The sequence below is a fragment of the Homo sapiens genome, chromosome 16 (genome assembly GCF_000001405.40).
Source record: "Homo sapiens chromosome 16, GRCh38.p14 Primary Assembly".
Taxonomy (NCBI): domain Eukaryota; kingdom Metazoa; phylum Chordata; class Mammalia; order Primates; family Hominidae; genus Homo; species Homo sapiens.
In genome coordinates this window covers 12,651,596-12,665,885 of record NC_000016.10, presented here as the reverse complement: position 1 = coordinate 12,665,885, position 14,290 = coordinate 12,651,596, and the positions used below count along the sequence as shown (strand labels likewise).

General features: G+C 43.8%; 1 protein-coding gene and 1 long non-coding RNA gene across 3 annotated transcripts in view; both read left to right on the top strand.

The window, feature by feature from the left end:
- The window catches only part of CPPED1 (calcineurin like phosphoesterase domain containing 1), a 144,089-nt gene extending 138,002 nt beyond the window's left edge, over nt 1–6,087 (top strand). For both annotated transcript variants that reach the window (NM_001099455.2, NM_018340.3), the window contains one exon: nt 771–6,087. In NM_001099455.2, coding sequence (NP_001092925.1) covers nt 771–1,000 — 230 coding nt within the window. In that variant the 3' untranslated portion in view covers nt 1,001–6,087. The remainder of the gene's footprint in view (nt 1–770) is intronic.
- Nucleotides 6,088–12,512: 6,425 nt separating this feature from the next.
- On the top strand, nt 12,513–14,102 carry LOC105371088 (uncharacterized). Its single transcript, XR_933085.3, has 2 exons — nt 12,513–12,697; nt 13,378–14,102. It is a non-coding gene; the product is annotated as an uncharacterized LOC105371088 (long non-coding RNA).
- The last annotated feature ends 188 nt before the right edge of the window (nt 14,103–14,290 follow it).

The following is a 14,290-nucleotide window of genomic DNA, read 5'->3' as shown; positions in this document are numbered from 1 at the left end:
TGGCATGATCTTGGCTCACTGCAACCTCCACCTCCCGAGTTCACGTGATTCTCCTGTCTCAGCCTCCCAGGTAGCTGGGACTGCAGGCACCTGCCACCACGCCTAGCCAATTTTTGTATTTTTTAGTATGAGATTTCACCATATTGGCCACGCTGGTCTCAAACTCCTGACCTTGTGATCCACCCACCTTGGCCTCCCAAAGTGCTGTGATTACAGGCGTGAGCCACCACACCTGGTCATTTTTTTTTATATTTTTGGTAGAGACAGAGTTTCATCATGTTGGCCAGGCTGGTCTCGAACTCCTGACCTCAAGTGATCCACCCATCTTGGCCTCCCAAAGTGCTGGGATTACAGGCATGAGCCACCATCCCTGGCCATAAATGTTATTTTTAAAATACATAACTTTTGTCATCTGGATATTTCTATAGGACTCAGGCTGTTTTCTTCAGTCTCCTTTGTCTTTTCTCAAAGTCATTCACTTCATCTTCCTTCTCTCATTTTCTTCCCTAGTACGTCTTTGTACAAGTTATGACAAACATGTTAATAATATATTATATATATGAAGTATCCTTTCAAAGATTCTGGACATCACATACGCTTTCTATTTGTTGATTATATACAGAATAATATTATACATTTAATATGATAATTCTACATGATGGTATAATAATATATTTAATATATTACTGTTCACAGAATAAAATGCTGGAGACCCTAGGTTACCTAATGGAAGTCCTCGGCCCCCTAATGACTTTTTCCCTTCTCTGCAGGTGTCAAAGTCGTGTTCTCAGGCCACTACCACAGGAATGCCGGGGGTACCTACCAGAACCTCGACATGGTGGTGTCATCTGCCATTGGATGCCAGCTGGGCAGAGACCCCCACGGGCTCCGAGTCGTGGTGGTCACCGCCGAGAAAATTGTTCACCGATACTACAGTCTAGATGAGCTGAGTGAGAAAGGAATAGAAGACGATCTCATGGATTTGATCAAGAAAAAATGACGCTCCTTCCCGTTCCCGTTCACTTTTCACTTGCACTATTTTTTTATTTTGCCAGAAACAGCAGCTGCACACAACCTCTTGCTGAAATATAAAAATAGCCCAGGCAGGTTTGTGAATTTATGTCCTTTTGCATAAATCAGAGAGCTGGGGCCCTGTCCTGAATTATATTCAAAATAGAACTGCATTTCCTTTAAAATGGAGCGAATGATCCTGGAAATCAGTTTTTAAAATATTAGACTATCTCTGCATGGATGTTTGAATAAATTCTCCTAATGCTGTGTTTCTCAACTCCACTTTTGAATTGGATTGTATTCTGGTTAGCATATGGTCAAAGTCTGCCTATCGACCTCAATTCCAATCTGACAGCCAAGTATGATCTTTGATAATTCCTTAAACAAACTACACCTGATTGTATTAAATTGTGGTCACGATTCCCAAAACGCTAGGCAAAACAAAGTTCATCTCCTTTCCTTTCCAGCGGAACGAACAGCTGTCTCCCTTGTTGTGAGAGCCATGCAGACTTATTTTGACAAGGAGCCAAGTAGGCACCATTTACTGTTCAATTCTGAGACTTCTGATGATAGGAACAGAATGCAGTTGATACAGCTCGGAGCTTAAATTTGCCTTCCTGGGTGCCTAGAAAAGTCACCTTTGCACATAAATTGGCCATTTCTGAAAATCTCCTCCAAGAGACTGAAACCAAAGCTCTAAAACGCCGCTTCTTCAGTCTCTGGGGAGCACGTTGAGTTGGTTCACATCCACATTCTGGCTGTGTAGCCACTCCACAGATGGGTGGTCTCTTGGGATCAGAATGCCCCTCCACTCATGAGACTCTTCATTTTGTCCACTTTGACAGGAAAAGTGGGAATGTATGCAGAGCTCTCAAAAGAAACAAAAAAGGCCAAAACGGTGCCTTCAGCCACATCCTCTGAATTGGCCCTGACTTGGACTAAATGCACTAATGCAAAATCCCTTGACAAAAGCGCATAGGTTATTTCAAACCAGCATTGTTTTTTATGTAACCTGTTTTACCGCATCTTCTCAGCAGCTTCTGACCACTGCTCAATTTTCTCCTTTACAGCCATTGTTCTGGTGGACAAATAACCTAGGTACTCCAAATCCTGGCAGGAAAAATATACAGCATTATGAAACAGCACTCAGTAATCCTAAAATGATTTCCAAAGCTGGTTACACATGACCTGCAAAGTCTATTAAATTAAAAGACTTTCTCATTACAGAGTTTAGTCAACGTAGCAAAACCATGGGAAATTAAATGGAAAGATAATTAAATATGTAAATTCATAAGGAACAAAAGACGAGAAGTTAATTATACAATAGGCTGGTGACACCAGAGTTCATTGTTATGTGCCACAAGAAAATTAAATTTTTTAAAAAACTAGAACGCTCTTCTTTTAGTGTTTTGCTGAAATCCTGTTTTGTATTTGTTTCTTTACAACAGGTGTAGGTATAGGAGGTCAAGAAAAGGAGTTCGGTAAAGGGCATAGCTAATAACAACCACACATTGGGCCAGGCACAGTGGCTTACGCCTGTAATCCCAGCACTTTGGGAGGCTGAGACGGGCAGATCACCTGAGATCAGGAGTTTGAGAACAGCCTGGCCAACATGGTGAAACTCCATCTCTACTAAAAATACAAAAATTAGCCAGGCATGCTGGTGCACACCTGTAATCCCAGCTACTCGGGAGGCTGAGGCAGGAGATCGCTGGAACTCAGGAGGCAGAGGTTGCAGTGAGCCAAGATCATGCCACTGCACTCCAGCCTGGGCAACAGAGCAAGACTCTGTCTCAAAAAAAAAAAAAAAAAACCACACACACACACATTGAGACTTGAGATGTGGTGACACTTGGATCATAAACAGAGGGCTTCGATTCCAGGATGGGGGTTCCTCCAGGGGGAAATGAAAAGGAGCTCTCACTCTGTTCTTACGTATGCACAATGCTCTGAATTGTGGCACATGGGTTTGCAGAAGGATAATGGAGATAATTGAAAGTAATGAAAATGAAACCAAATCTCCTTCCCCAAAAACTTAAAAGAACTGATTCAAAAGTACCCCAAGAATATGCAAAGAAAAGGGAATCACATCAACAGATGATTGGATAAAGAACATGTGGTATGTATACATAATGGAATACTATTCAGCCACTAAAAAGAATGAAACCATGTCTTTTGCAGCAACCTGGATGGAACTGGAGGCTGTTATCTTAAGTGAAATAACTTAGAAGTAGAAAGTCGAATACTTCATGTTCTCACTCATAAATGGGAGCTACATAAAGTGTACCCATGAACATAGAGTGTGGAACAAACATTGGAGACTCAGAAGGGTGGGAGGAGGGTAAGGGATGAGAAAGTACCTGATGGGTACAGTGTACACTTTTCTGGTGTTGGTTGCAGGAAAAGCCTGGACTTCACCACTTCGCAATATATCCGTGTAACAAAACTGCACTTGTACGCCTTATATTTATACAAATTTAATTTTTTAAAAGGGAAGAGAGAATCATATTAATTTCTCACCACTTTTTAAGTAAGCAAACAGCAGTATTTCCCAGAGGCAAGAGGTTCAGCAAGAAGTCAGGAAATGTTTTTGTAGATAAGCATCTATCATTCTGATGGGCCATGACTAGTGTGTTCACTTGTAATTCCTTTGCCTTTAAAAAAAGAGAATGATATCAAAAAATAAGTGCCTTATACTGTGAAAAACGATAAAAGGACTTCCTGATTCTAAGTGCTATGGTTTTGAATGTTTATTATGTGTTTTAAGTGCTTTGGCTCAGAAAGGTGGGGGTCACGTGGCCAAGGTCGCCTAACTCATCTTGGTGGAGAAAGAACGGATGTAGATGGCCCAAGGCTTGAGTCCATGCTCCATAACACTGTCCTGTCTTGGAAAACGTTTCTCAGAGGTGAAAGGTTGCACCAGCTCAGCCAGTGGCAACACACTGAGTACGGTATTCAGCACCTTGGACAGCGTTAGCTGGAGGCCCAGGGATTTCCTCCCAGCTCTGCAAAGCCTAGACCAGACCCTGATTGCACCAGGTTCAGGGGGCAGAAGCTTGTCCAAAGAGCAGATGGTTCCAGGGGGAGGATTTTTACTGGGGGAGATTTAGAAACCGAACTGAACCATAATGAGTCACGGGACACAGCCCTGTCTGCAGCAGTAACTGTCCGCAGCTCTAGCTGCTCCATGTCTGGAGTTACCACCACAGGGTGTAGGAAACCACCAGCTGTCTCAAGGCAAGGAATGTCACCTAATGCTCCCCTTTCCAATTAATCACTTTAATTGGAGGAAAAAACAAAAACACAAGGACATGTTACGGGGGAAGGTTTTTTAAAGTGATCTCAAATTGGATTGCAAAGGCTCAAGTGACTTTGGGAATGGGGCTGGGGAGATGATCATTTACTTTTTACAATAAATAATTTTATCTCACATCTTTAGTCAAGTTTCTCCTAAGTTTGGGGAGAATGGGGAAAAAATGTAGTAAGCTTTATGGGACTAGCAACAGAACGTTTTATCCTATTTTGTGATTTTCAGTATTAAGAGATTATTGATCACTTGCAGAGTTACAAGGCAAGCACTAGTTTAAATCTGAATTAGACTAGGGCCATTGACCTTATATACCTGTAAAAGACACTACGGTGTATACAACTGTAGAAACAATATACACATAGTAGTTTAATATTACAGTCTGTATTCCAATGCAGAATCTTTTGAGAAAAGGTTGCCAAAACATCATTTGCATTTACTTGAACCCTTTTTTAGACAGAATCTTGCTCTATCACCCAGGCTGGAGTGCAGTGGTGTGATCACAGCTCACTGCAGCCTTGAACTCTTGGGCTCAACCAACCTTCCCACCTCAGCCTCCCAAATTAGCTGGGACTATAGGCTCGTGTCACCACATCTAATTTTTTATTTTTATATTTGTGGAGTTGAAGGTCTTGCTCTGTTACCCAGGCTGGTCTTGAACTCCTGGCCCCAAGCAGTCCTTCCACCTTGGCCTCCCAAAGTGTTGGGATTACAGGCGTTGGCCACTGTACCCAGCCTTACTTGAACTCTTAATACTTATTCCCAAGTGGTACCTAAAATGGTTTTGTGCAGTCACAATATTAGGTAGCAATATTATATTGAGCTGGAGGAAAAAGAAGATTTAGGAGTAAATTGCCAAGGCAAGTTCTGTTAAAAGCTTTCTGTAATAGACATCAGGGATTTTTTTTATTCAGGTAACCTCAACAGTTTTGATTGCACATGTAACATAGTACTTGACAGGTAATACTGATTTTTATAACTTCATAAAATATTCTCAAGCCATGGAGGAGCTCTTATGTATTTTTTAATGAGTACACACACACACACACACACACACACACACACACACATATAGTAAAAGTGGAGGATTCTTTTCTTGGAATAATGATTTCTAGCATTTATCTAGAAAAGATTTTGCTGACTAAATTTTCCTTTTCCTCCAGTGGATTTTTAAACATCAGTGCATGCACATAAATACAGATTGGATTTTTCCTTTAGGCTTTATCTATGTAAATGAAGTCGATTAAATGTGAATAATCATGTTACCCTTCATTATTCTGACCATTATGTTTGAGAAGTAGATTTCTTCACTAAAGGGGCTTTGCAGCACACTTAGAATGAGTGAGCCACTGTGCCTCTCTAGAAACTGGCTTCTTGTCATCATTTCAACATCCACTCAAACGCTCACCCCTGAAAGTGGCCTTCCTGCTTGATATGGTTTGGCTCTGTGTCTCCACCCAAATTGGTTTGGCTCTGTGTCCCCACTGAAATCTCATCTCGAATTGTAATCCCCATAATCCCCATGTGTCAAGGGACGGACCTGGTGGGAGGTAATTGGATCATGGAGGCAGTTTCTCCCATGCTATTCTTGTGATAGTGAGTTCTCATGACACTGATGGTTTTGTGTTTGATAGCTCCTTCACACTCTTTCTTTCCTGTTGCCATGTAAGACATGCCTGCTTCCCCTTCCACCAGGATTGTAAGTTTCCTGAGGCCTCCCCAGCCATGCGGAACTGTGAGTCTATTAAATCTCTTTTCTTTGTAAATTACCCAGTCTCAGGCAGTTCTTTATAGCAGTGTGAAAGTGGACTAATACACTGCTCCACCCTATCTAAGGTTACACTCCTTGTCCCAGTATTGCATTCTTGTTCCCTTGCTTGTTTTTTTCATAGCGCATCGCTGAGAAATATCCTTGCTTAATTATCTCGAAGTGTAACCCACCACACCCACCCACCAGAATGCAAGCTCCAGACAGCAGGGACCATGTCTGTCCCATTTGCCACTCTATCCCCAGCAGCTGGAACTGTGCCTAAGGGCATAGAGTTGCTGCTCAAAGAATACTCAGCAATGGATGGTGGGTAAAGCTATATAGCTATGGCGATCACATAGTAATCTATACCGATTATCACTATGAACACTCAATCGATAGGGGAGGAAGAAAGGGAAGGAAGTGATATTCCTAAGCCTGGTAGTAGTCCTTGTGGGATTGTCCTCAAAGTGAAGTATTCTCAGTAGTTCCATCAATAACTAGCAGCATCATTGTCATCTTTAGTTCAGTGCACTCGGTGAAGAAATTGGAGGTGATAACAAAAATATCCTCTACTTGTAGTAATTCTAAGCCTAGTTCACTGAACAAATACTGTACAGTAACCAAAGCAGGTGAGCCAGACAAGAGAGTGACTCTAGACTGAAGGTTCTATGTGAATGTAAAAGAGATGGCTTGAAATACAGGCATGAAACTCAGGAAACACTGAAAACTGCATCATGGGAGTGCAGCCCAGGGACGTCATGGGAATGAATAAGATTCCTGGGAAAATCTAGCAGCACTGCAAGATACCTAAGGACAGAAAGACAGGAAAGATGGAAGTCACAGAAGGAGTAAAAGGGAATCTGAAAACTCCAGGCTTGTGCACCCTGAACAAAAAAGGAATTGACTCCAGCTGGAGTTGAGTGGTTTAAGCCCCTATAGTCCAAACTTCCTACAGATAACTTTATAGACGAAAAGACCTACCTGGCGATTCAGAGTGAAGACATGCAAGGAACTCAAAACCTTGGTGAGTCTCTCCTCCCCTCCACACTGGTCTGAGGGCAAACCACAATTGCAAAGCAGCACACCAGAGGTCAATAAAGTTTTTCTCAAAATTCACTTTTTTTTTTTTTTTTTTGACACGAGGTCCCGCTCTGTTGTCCAGGCTGGAGTGCAGTGGCTTAATCTCAGCACATGAGAATCTCCACCTCCCAGGTTCAAGCAGTCCTCCTGCCTCGGCCTCCCAAGTAGCTGGGACCAAAGGCATGCACCACCACACCCAGCTAATTTTTGTATTTTTGGTAGATGGAGTTTCGCCATGTTGCTCAGGCTGGCCTCAAACTGCTGGGCTCAAGTGACTCACCTGCCTTGGCCTCCCAAAGTGCTAGTGTTAACAGGCATGAACCACCAGGCCTGGCCTAACATTCACTGTGTATTAGACCAGAGATACCAGAGGAAGAAGCCTGGGTCACTGGGGAGTGAGGAGTCCTAGCAGGGAGACAAGCCAGGGATAGGAAGCCTCTGATTTGTATATGAGCGTCACACAGATCTCTTGCTTACCCCCAAAGCATGCATGAGCAGGACAGACAGGGCAACAGAGGCTTAAAGAATTGAACCAAGATTTGAATCACTGCCCAGAGGAAGCAATAGAAAGCTTACCACTGGAGTCTGATCAAGTTAATTGCCTGCAAAAGCCTCAACATTCTTCAGAAGAATATAACTGAATCCTAGTTCTCCACAATGTAATATCCACAATCCCCAGCATACAACCCAAAATTGCTTGACATACAACAAAAGCAACAACAGAAAAAAGAAAAGAAAATACATCACTCTCAAAGGATAAAACAGTCCTAAGATGCCCCAGATGTTGGAATTATCACTGCAGGAGAACAGAGCAGCTCCTATAACAAAGCTTTATAAAGTAAAGGAAAATATACTTAGTATGAATGAAAAGAAATGATATCTCCTAGAACATAGAAAAAATCAAATGAAAATTTCAGAACTGAAAAATATAACATCTGAAATTTTAAAACTTACTGGATGGGCTTAATAGCAGAATGGAGAAGAGAGAAAAGAGTCAGGAAACATGAAGACAGATCAGTAGAAAGTATTCATTCTAAAATACAAAGACAAAAAGGATTTTATTAAGCAAAGCTTCAGGACCCTATATCAAAAGTCTAAAGTACAGGTGATGAGTACCAGAAAGGAAAGAAAGAATGGGCCCCCAAAAATTTGGAAAAATGCTAGCCAACAACTTCTCATATTTTGTGAAATTTTTTAAAAAATTAAATTCTCTATGCTCAACAAACAGAAAACGTGAGTCACGAAGCAAAATATTACTAAATTGGACTTTATTATAAAGATTTTGCTCTTCAGTGATATTAGAAAATGGGAGGCAAGGCTGGAAAAATAAATTGCAGCACATTTATCAGATAAAGGGCTTGTATCCAAAATACATAAAGAACTGCAGCCTGGGCAACATAGCCATATCTCCAACTCCTGACCTCAAGTGATCCACCCACCTTGGCTTCCTAAAGTGTTGGGATTACAGGTGTGAGCCTCCATGCCCAGCCGAACCCTTCTTTTTAGAGACCAGAATGGAGGGAATGGAAAGGCCAATGAGGCTAGGGCAGTGGATGGAGACGTGGGATAATGTAATCGATCCATTGTTTGATAGGCGCATGTCCATTTCCTGCTAATTCCTCTCTCAGAGGCACCCTGTGCTGTGTTTCATTGTGAAGCAGGTGAGGCTTTCTGGATTTATGCACAGTTCGCCTTGGTCATGTCAGGAAAGAGCCACCATCTGTATAGAACGGGTGACATCTGCCTTTCACGGAATCCCTGCCTCTGGGCAGACCATATGGATGTGTTGTAGGCACTGAAGGAGAGCGGATCCAGGATGTAGCCTGTTACTGTGATGTTTGAAAGTCTCTCCTTGGTCTTCCAAGCTGTCCTTTCAAGCTTCCACAAAAAGAGCTAATGATTTCATCTCATAGTATTTTTGAAATACTCTGGATTTGCTCTCTTAAGCTACCAAGGAGGCCGGGTGCAGTGGCTCACACCTGTAATCCCAGCACTTTGGGAGGCCAAGTCAGGTGGATCACTTGAGGTCGGGAGTTTGAGACCAGCCTGGCCAACATGGTGAAACCCCGTCTCTACCAAAAATAGAAAAATTGACCAGGCGTGGTGGCACATGCCTGTAGTCCCAGCTACTCGGGAGGCTGAGGCAGGAGAATCACTTGAACCCAGGAGGCAGAGGTTGCAGTGAGCCAAGATCATGCCACAGCACTCCAGCCTGGACAAAAGTGAGTGAGACTCCATCTAAAAAATAAAATAAAATAATGAGTAATTAATAAAAAGCTACCAAGGCAGGTTTTTGGCTCAGTGGTGCAGTAGCTCACACCTATAATCCCAGCACTTTGGGATTCTGAGAGGGGAGGATTGCTTGAGTTCAAGACAAGCCTAGGCAACATAGTGAGACCACCCCTCCCATCTCTACAAATATAAAAAGTTAGCTAGGCATGGTGACACACATCTGTAGTCCTAGCTACTTGGGAGGCTGAGATGGGAGGATCGCTTGAGCCCAGGAGGTCAAGACTACAGTGAGCTGTGATCATGCCACTGCACTCCAGCCTGGGTAACAAAGCAAGACCCTGTCTCTGAAAAAAAAAGGAAGAAAAAAAAAAAGGCTACCAAACTGCAATATCACACCCTTAAACCACATATTTTGGTGTGAAAAACTGTTAAAGTGACATGGTATTGTATTTACCCTATAGGTTCGGGTTTTCCTGTTCTGTTATGTCGTTGTGGGATGAAATCCAACATGATACCCTGAGAGCAGGAGCAGTGTCTTCATAGCCACTGTGTCCTCATTGCCTGGCCTGGGGCCTCACCCTTCTTATAAATGTGTGTTGCCTCCTTGTTGCTTCCTCTGTGCTGTGTTTCATTGTGAAGCAGATGAGGCTTTCTGGATTTAAGGCTTCCCTGCTCAGCAACCCTCCCAACACCATGAACCTTCCGATTATTCATCCATTCCAAAGACTTGCCGAGGAGGTACCGCGCCCTGTGCCTGGCGCGGGTGAACAGAGAGCAGCCTTTGTCTCTTGCGAGACGACTTAAACACTGATGTTTCCTGTGTCCTGGGCAGCCTTCTCTGCTCCCTGACGTTCCTAGGAAACCTGACCGACACCAATCACATTCATTACTGTGTATGTGATGACAGTTCCCACATAGAATGATTTTAAGACAAGATGAACTTCCGCTGACTGGACAGCATGACAGTGTCCCCAAAACAACGCACACACACCATTTCCAAACTTTAATTCATCTCTGTTCCGAAAGCACTTTCTCTTGTTTTTTTTTCTTTTCTTTTCTTTCTTTCAAGACAGGGTTTCCCTCTGTACCCCAGGGGGGAGTTCAGCGGCACGATCTCGGCTTATTGCAACCTCTACCTCCCAGGCTCAAGTGATCCTCCCGCCTCAGCCTCCCCAAGTGGGAAGCTGGACCACAGGCACCAGCCACCATGCCTGGCTAATTTTTGTATTTTTTAGTAGAGACAGGGTTTCACTGTTTCCCAGGCTGGTCTTGAACTCCTGAGCTCAAGCAATCCACCCACCTCAGCCTCCCAAAGTGCTGGGATTACAGGTGTGAGACACTACGCCTGTCTCGTATTTCTCTGTCTCGACAAATAGCAACAGCCCCTACCCACGTGCCTTAAACCAGAAACTCAGGTTCTGCCTCTGTCCTGTGCCCCAATGTCTCACAACTCACAGTTGCTAAGGCCTCAGGACTCTCCTTGGAGGAACCGCCTCCCCCAGGGCCTCTTTTCCTTAGGCCTTTCCTGGTGATGTTCCTTAGTTAGAACAACTCCTGGACCACTGCTCCGCCCAAACTTCTTTCAGGGACCAGCTCCCATCTCACCTGCTCCCTGACTCCCCCAGCCATACCTGAGCACCTCCCCCAGCACCGCCGGGTGGGCAGCACAGTGCAGAAGTTTTCAGTCCACTCCTCCAAGAGCCATTCTTGTAGTGAGCACACAAGACACAGAACGTCACCTCCAGGGCAGGGTGCGTCTCCTCAATTCTAAGATGCGCATTTTTTTCACATTTTACTGTTTCTGAAATCAAAACCCAGCTTCGCCATCGGTGGCCTCCTTAACGTGCAGAAAATGCTAGAAAGACAGATACAGTTAAAAATGGGCCAGGCACGGTGGCTCACACCTGTAATCCCAGCACTTTGGGAGGCCAAGGCAGGTGGATCACTTGAGGTCAGGAGTTCGAGACCAGACTGGCCAACGAGGTGAAGCCCCATCTCTACTAAAAATTAAAAAATTAGCCAGGCGTGGTGGCGCACGCCTGTAGTCCCAGCTTCTCGGGAGGCTGAGGCAGGAGAATCGCTTGAACCCACGAGGCAGAGGTTGTAGTGAGCCCAGATCGTGCCATTGCACTCCAGCCTGGGCAACAGAGAGAGATTCTGGGAAAAAAAAAGAAAGGAGAGAGAGAGAGAGAGAAGGAAGGGAGGGAGGGAGGGAAAGAGAAGAAAAAGAAAGAAAGGAAAGAAAGAAGAAAGAAAGGAAGGAAGGAAAGGAAAAAGAAAAAGAGAAGAAAAAGAAGGAAAGAGAAAAGGAAAAAAGAAAAAAGAGAAAGAAAAAGAAAGAAAGAAAGAAAAAGAAAGAAAGAATGAAAAAGAAAGAAAAAGGAAGGAAAGAAAGAAAAGGAAGGGAGAAGTGTTAAAGGGATGGAGTTGGGCCACCTGGGTTCCATTGCTAGCTCTGCCACTCAATGATTCTGCGGCCTTGGGTAGGTCATGTCCTGTTTCTGAGACTCAGTTTCTTTATCTATAAAATGGGGACAATATAGTACCTTTCCCTTAAGGTTAACATGAGCCTTCTTGACACCTTAGCACTGATACATGAGCAAATCTTGGCAGAATATAACCAAATGCTTCTGCACTGTCCATTGTGTCTGTGCAGAGTATTTGCATAATAGATAATCATGACATTGATCATCTTCAAACATCACGTGTTTGTTCCTCCACCCTCATCCCCCAGCACAGAGCCCAGCCGTGCATCCATGAGGGGCCCATGGTCCCCCTTAAAATGTGCTTAGCCTCCCAGACTGGGTTCTTAAAGCTAGATTTGGGCTGGGTGCAGTGACTTATGCCTGTAATTTCAGCACTTTGGGAGGCAGAGGTGGGGGGATATCACCTGAGGTCAGGAGTTCGAGACCAACTAGCCAACATGGTGAACCCCATCTCTACTAAAAATACAAAAATTAGTCGAGTGTGGTGGCACATGCCTGTAGTCCCAGAAACTCGGGAGGCTGAGGCAGGAGAATCACTGATCCCAGGAGGTGGAGGTTGCAGTGAGCCGAGATTGCACCACTGCACTTCAGCCCAGGCAACAGAGTGAGTGAAGCTTAGTCTCAAAAACAAACAAACAAACAAAAAAAAACTACATTTGATAGCACAGCAGCAGTCAAATTTTTTTATAATGCAGCTTCAAAGGAACAAAACAAACTTTCCCTCTTGTCTATAAAGGAGCAGGCAGCTGAGACGTCAGCTACGTGGCCTGAGACTATTGTGATTACTTCCCATGTATGAACTCACTGAGCGCTAAAAACAACCCCACCAAGGTAAGTATTTTGATTATTCCCATTTTTCAGATGAGAAAACTGAGACCTCAGACACTGAGGAACTTGCTCAAGGTCACGTAGCTTGTGAGTGTCAGAGTTGGGATTCAAACCCAAGCATTGTGGTCCCAGCACCAATTACCCCTCCACTGTACCAAGCCTCTAGCCTTCTGTGGCAGGGGGAGTTGGAATGACATATGTACTCCCTTACCCAAAAAGGATAAAGCATGTTCACAAATAGGACCCCAGGCTTTCTTCTTTTAGATGAAGAAGCAGGTCTGCTCCTCTTGGAATCAGACACTGGAATGTAAATTATTTTTGGCCGGGAGCAGTGGCTCACGCCTATAATCCCAGCACTTTGGGAGGTCAAGGTGGGCAGATCACTTGAGGTCTGGAGTTCGAGACCAGCCTGGCCAACATGGTGAAACCTCATCGCCACTAAAAATACAAAAATCAGCCAGGCATGGTGGTGTGCGCCTATAATCCCAGCTACTCGGGGGGCTGAAGCAGGAGAATTGCCGTTGCACTCCAGCCTAGGCAACAGAGTGAGACTCTGTCTCCTCAAAAAAAAAAAAAAGTAAGTAAATTATTTTCATCCTCAAATTATGTCTCCACTGACAAATGGAACCAAGTTTATTTATTTCATTATTCAATTTAGTTAAGTATTTTTTTTTCTCTCCAAGGAATTCTAGGAATAAAGTCACACATTACCCGAAAGATCTCCAGCAGAGGCGTTTCTGGGCCAACGTTACTCACCTACGGAGAGTCTGCAGCTCCTAGCTTGGATGAAAGGAAAGTTTCATTAGCTTTATTTACTTCTTCCGACGTAATTGGTCAGCAGAGTATAAATGCTGATGTCATGTCTAATTAGCGGTGGCCTCTGCCCTTCTGGTCACAGCACCGCGTCTGGCTTGTTTGTGTGGATGGAGCAGTTTCACGGGGAGCGTCTTTATGAACTAGCTCTCCCATGGAGCTGCTCTAATTATCATTTAAGAAAACAAGCGTTTTGATGTTGTGTAGACAGTTCAGCAACATCTCCCCAGCAGGGCTGATAATTTTAACACCCTTTCAGTACATGATGGGCTTTTTCCACAGGTGATCACATCAGATCCTGGGGAACCAGAAATTGGGAACTCATGTCTGCTCCTCTTTGTCGTGGACACCTTGCTGATCTTGGCTCCAGTCGGATCCGTCAGGTGCTCTAAAGCTAATTGTATTGGCATGGATTTTGCCAGGCATCCAAAATTCAGATTAAACAACCAATGCAATCATCATGCCCCTGGGTACCATTTATTGTGATGAAATCAGACCTAACATAAAGGAAACAGTTCAATACCTAAAAGATTTAGCGTGGATACAAATATTCATTGATACTAATAAATTTTACAGTATGCTTTGTTTAAAAACAGAAAGGAGTAGTTAATTACAGACTGAGAATGTCAATTTGACAACAACACTTTCTTCTTGGTTTACATCATTCAGTTCCAGAAAATCAGTAAGATAAAAGCCATGCGCCACTGGGGGAGAAAGGAGGTGACCTCCAGGTTCTCTTTCTCTCTCACACAGACACTTCTCAACCCCAGTGACCTCTGCTTT